This window comes from Homo sapiens, chromosome 13 (genome assembly GCF_000001405.40).
Source record: "Homo sapiens chromosome 13, GRCh38.p14 Primary Assembly".
Classification (NCBI taxonomy): Eukaryota; Metazoa; Chordata; class Mammalia; order Primates; family Hominidae; genus Homo; species Homo sapiens.
Genome location: NC_000013.11, coordinates 76,621,847 through 76,627,874, shown reverse-complemented (window position 1 = coordinate 76,627,874; position 6,028 = coordinate 76,621,847).

Sequence of the window (6,028 nt, the reverse complement as noted above, 5' to 3'; positions counted from 1 at the left end):
GTTTCATAGTTTGCTTACTGACAACTATTGAGGCACTGTGAGATAGAGATGAACCTGACACTGTCCCCATCCTCGAGAACCTTAGGTCTTGCAAAAGGAGACAAACAAATGACTACCATAAAATCTTATAGGTCCTCAGATACATGTGTACAGAGCAGTGTGTTTCTAAAATTCTGCATAGGAGGGAGAAGTTTATGTTGTCAGTTGGCTCCAAACATCTATTTCCACCTCTTTCTATGTCCTGTCTTGTGCTGCAAAAAGCTAGAAAGCAAAAATTTAGTTTCTCCAGACTCCCTTGCAGCTAATGTTCCCAGTGGAAAATGGATTCTGCCAAATAGATGCATTTGCATGAGACTTGGAAAGCAGAAGAAAGGCAGAGGCCATCTTCTTGCCACTCCTGCTGGCAAGCAAGGGTCAGAACTGTGAATGTGGAGAGCGAGTTAAAACAGCTGAAATCAACCTATCTATCACCAGCATGGTGGGAGTCCTAAGACAGTTGTGGTGGCTGCATCAATTGGATTGGTGGCATAGTCTTTCTAAGCCCTATAGCAGAATATTCTTGAATCCAATAATTCTCAAGACACCCCCTGGCTTCCTTTCCTCCAGCTCTTCCAACAACTTTTAAGCATTCAATTTTTGTAATCAATCACTTCTGTATTCATACATGTAGAATAGTACCTTTCCCTGTCCATATGCCAGACAGACATAAAGATGTTTAGGGAAAGGAATTTGTTGGAAGTGAGAGGTACTACGAAACATCTTGAGAAACCATTTGTATGGCAAGCAACTTGTGGTTTCTGCAAATGCACGCTAATTTTGATTGGTGTAAAGTGGAAAAGCTAATCAAATTTGAGAAAGTATAAAAGCTGCCCCAACCAACCCTTTGCACCTTCTCCCTAGTCTCTATAGTCTCAAAAAAAAAAATGAGAAAGGTACTGAAAAGGGGTGGCTGGTCCATGAGATGTGGGTTTGAAGGTAGGGAGGTTGGTCAGGGAAGTCTCCAAAAAGGAAGTTGAGTCTTGGGAAATGGTGGCCCTTTGACTGGCATGTATGGGGAAGGGTAGAGTATTCTAGGTGGAGAAGCACAAGAATCTGAGTCCTGAAGGTCAAAGAAGGCATTGAAAATTGGTGAAACTAAAAGTTACTCAGTGTGGCTAGAGTACAGAGGGGGGTGGCAGAGGGAATCCTAGAGAGGTCCTCACTGGCCCAGACCTGCAAGGTCAGGTATACCTCATCATGGAGTTTGCATTTCATCTTGCAGGTAATAGAGAAGCTTTGATAGGTTTTCAGCCAGGAAGTGACTTGATTGGTTTGAATTTGGGGAAGAACACACTGAGTGCAGCATTGAGGATGGAGAATGAAATTGGAAGCCGCGGGATGCTTGGGAAGTTAAGTGAGAGATGATTTGAGATGGTGAGCACTTGATTCCAGAGCTGCAGATTGTTCCCATGAGAAGCTTAATTGTGACACAAAAAGGAGTAGTTGAGCAGTAACTACAGAGAGCTACAAGATCACGAGTGCTTTGCATATATCTATGTGTCTGTGTGTCTATCATCCATCTATCAATCATCTATAGAACTTTAGCAAGCTTGTTGGTTAAATGGAAGCAACAGGAAGAAAGTTACTGGAGATATGAGAGTCAAATTTATTTATCTTTTTAAAGTTTAAGTGAATTATATACTATAATAAAATCAAGTCCATATTTTTCTAATTATAAAAATCAAAATCACAAAATAGTAGAAGCTCATGAGGGTAATAATGTTTAAATCTTTTGGTTGAGAAGAATGGTAAAGAAAATAATGTCCCCTTTTAAAGATGTTCACATCTTACTTCCCAAAGCCTTTTGGTATGTTATCTTACATTGTCAAAGGAACTTTGCAGATGTGAGCAAGTTAAGGATGTTGGGATGGGAAGATTATTTTTGATTATCTGGGTGGATAAAGTATAATCACAAGGGTCTTTATGAGAAGGAAGCAGGAGGACCTCCATCAGAGTGAGAGATGTAACAACGGAAAGTAGGAGAGTGGGAGAGGGAGAAGGAGAAGAAGAGAAGGAGGGAGAAAGGAGGCCTCACTGCTGGATTTGAAGATGAAGGAAAGCTCCATGAGCTCAGGAATGCAGGTGGCTTCTAGAAGCTTGGAAAGGCAAGGAAATGGATTATTTCCTGGAGTCTTCAAAAAGAACTCAGCCCTACAGGCACCTTGATTATAAGTCTTCTGACCTCTGCAACTGTTAGCTAATAAATTTGTGTTGTTTTAAACTACTAGGTTGGTATTAATTTGTTACAGCAGCATGCAAGATGCAAAAAATATATGAAAACCGGAAAACATTAAAAAAAAGGATAGACTTGACTACATAAAAAATTTGTTTTTGATATGATTTCCAAATCACAAACCTGCTGAAGGGCAAGTGAAAACTATGGAAGGTCATATGAAAGGCAACAAAAGGTTAATGATAATGATATATAAAGCATACTAAAATCAATATAAAAACCCAATTCAATGGAAAATGAGCAAAAAATAGTGTCAGAAGAAATACAAATAAACAGACAAATGTGTTTTGCCAAGAAATGAAAATTAAAACATTAAAATAACCTTTTTAAAATCTGGCCAGCTAATGATGATTTGTTAAACACCTACTGCTGGGCAGAGTGTGGAACACGATTGTCGTGAACCCTAGGTGAAGTATAATTTGGTTAAAGCTTTTTGGAAGGCAGTTTGACAATTATTATTTGTATGGTAAGTATACATACTCTTTGATTTAGCAATTTCATTTCTAGGATTTCATTCTTTAGGAATGCTGACTCCAGTGCACAAAGGTATACATCTAAGAGTGCTTGTAGAAGCATTGTTTGTATAGAAAAAATGAAAATACTTACAATGGATATTAATAGGAGATTGATTGAATGGCATTTGCTATATCCAAATCATGGACTATGCTGCCTTTTAAAACATTGAGGTGGGTAAGAACAACATTTATTGTATAATATATCAATAAGCAACCAAACCAGATTATAGAATTATATGCACATTTTGATTCTATTATAAAAATATGTATATATGTGCTATATGGATTTATGTTTGTGAATGATATGCACATACAATTTGTATCAGTGTATGCATATGAAAAATTTGGTGGAATTTAAAAGCAAACATAACAGAGGAAAGGCTGAGATTACAGGAGACTTTTATGTTCTGCTTTATTCATTTTTCTAGCACTTGAAATTTTTTTACAGCATATGCTTTTAAATTCAGGAATAAAAAGTCCTATAAAATTGTGAAAATATATTATGGTAGATGCTTAACGACTCGTAAGTGACTCTTAGTGGGGCATAGTGGAGAACTATTTTTCTCTGGGTAACAAATGACCAATCTAATTACCTGTGGAAGAAAGAATATAGCAATTATTTTTGCAGAGTAGACAACAAATAACTACTTGTTGAGTGAATAAAGGACTACATAGAGACATATTGATATGCCTGGATAGCTAAGCATAGAAAGGCTCTATAAATTTTTCATAGGATCTAGTAATCTTATTTATTTGATGCTACCTTAGGAAAGAAGTGCTCAAATATCTCTGGCCATTTCTTTCTCTCTTCTCGCAATTCCTCAAGCTGTCCTCAGTGTCTTGACACCATGGAATCTTTATATCATACATGCTATAAACATAACTTATTAGGGAACTCAAGAACAGTGTTTTATGTTGATTAGGAATGAATTATTTCATGAAGAAGTTCCAGAGGAAGTAGTCTCTGAAGTGCAATATTCTGAATTATGACATCTAAGTGGCAGCAACTAAATTGAGTAAGATCTTGAAAGGTGTTTGAAGACTTACCATTTTGAATGTGATTGTTTAATTATACAGCACTATTTAAAAATACCAATCTTGACAGGTTTTAAAAAATTTTGGCCATTAGCTACATCATAAATGTCAGTGAGCTTTTGAACATTCATATAATCAACTTCAAATGGGCAGATAGAACCAGGTGATTACTGAAGTTTGCTTATATCTGCAGATTGCTTAATAAGGTTAGGACTTACAGTTGAGGCTTTAGAACTATTATTTATTCATATGCTTTTTTTCTTTGTCACAATTATTGGGACAAGGCATAGACACCTGGTCCATTCAATTTCTCTGACTAGGAACATTGGAATTGGATTCAGGAATGGTCATTTCTTCATATAAGTGGAACTGTCACACATGAAGATGAGGTGGTGGTGGATAGAGAGTAGAGAAAGCCTGTCAGTGGGGGAAAGAGAAAGAGAAGAATGAGGAGGGAAAGGAGATGGAGGATCAGAATGATGAAGAGGAGGAGAAAGACACAAGGAAGAGAAGAAGGAGGAAGAGTTGTAGAGGAAGAAAATGTGGAGGGAGGAAAAGGAGGAGAGGAGGTGGAGAAAGTAGATATATGCAGAAAGGAGCAGAGACAGAATACAGTAAGAGAAAAACTGCCTAAGTTTCTGAGGGATTCAGAGTTCCACTTCCTTCTTGGGTCAAGATTATATTTGTATAACCAGTTCTCCCTTTTCCTTAAGCTACCTTGGTGTGATTTCTACTGCCTACAAGCAAAGAGTACTAATTAGCACAAGAGAAGAAGTAGAAGTGCCTTTATTTATCCAGTATTATTTCAAATAAGCCAGTAAATCAAATATTGGGCTCTGGAGCTGAATAACTGTGAGTCTGCCACCTTAGGCTCAGCACATTTTGGTTATTTTATTCTAACACTGGGGTTTCCCCTGGAAGCAGGGGGCAGTTGGCTGCATTGGGGGAATCACATCATCACACAGGTAGTCTGTCTTTTCCTTCTTTCCCTTCTGACCACAAATGTACACACACAGTATATTGGAAGTAGAAGGAACTTTGAAAATCATCTGGTGCAGCCCCTTAGTTTAACAGAGAAGAAAACAGAGGGTCTAAGAGATAAAGAGGTTTATTCAAGGTTATGTGATAAATTAGTAGCAAAACCATGACCAGAACCTTCCAACATCAGACTCCTCCCTGTGTTCTGCCTGCCTAAGTGAACATCTGTGTTGGGCCACAGCCAAGGAAAAAACAGTGCTGTAGGGAGATGGTGATAAACATCATGAAAAACAGCAATTTTCATCAACTCTCATCTTCTTGGGAGATGGCTTAGAGTTCTTGCTTTTTCTTGCAGAGCTTTCAGCCTTGTTCTCACAGCAGGAATAGCGTTCAACTTCTCAGCCTTTATTTCCAGGGTCAGTATACTAAATAAGATGAAAGCCCTGAGCTTAATTGGAACTTCTTTTGTAAAACAGGATGGAAGGGTGATTGAAATGTCAAAACATTTTCCAGTGATCTGGGCAACTTACCTTTCCCTAAAGCAATTGCCAAAATTTTCAGCATGACATTTGCATTGTGGAAAGGCTTGCAGGGAATTAGAAATCATACCAGGCCAAGTTTCATCCTCTGCAATGATGGAAATATAGAATTCCCACTGAGGTTTTGCACACATTTTTGTTCTTTAAATTGTTTTATTGGCTATTGACATGGCTTCCAAGCTATTTCATGAACTGTACTTTTCCTATGTAGAATTTGCTGTCAATAACTCCAGAATTTAAATTTCAACAATTTAATGGGACAAATGTATTAATTTTAAAGAAGTCAAATGAATATTTACTGTGAAACTTAATAAGCAACAAGTCCATATTTATGGAGATGTCTTAATGAATATTGATTTATATACACTATTCATTTTGTTATTTTCAGTTAATAGTAGCTAGTGTGTACTTCTAATTACTCATGATTTTTTGCATATTCAAAAAGGATGACACATTTAGCTAGAGTCTTTTGTTTTGGTATTTGAGAATTCAAGGCTGTGCTATTTTGAGGTTTGAAGTTTAGCTTGTGCTATTGTTTGAATGTGTCTCCTAAAGTTCACATATTGAAAACTTAATTCCCAATGCAACAGTGTTGAGATGTGGTTCTTTTAAGAGATGATTCACTCATGAGGGCTCTGCCCTGATGAATGGATTGATGCCATTATTGCCACAGTGGATTAGATGGGAGT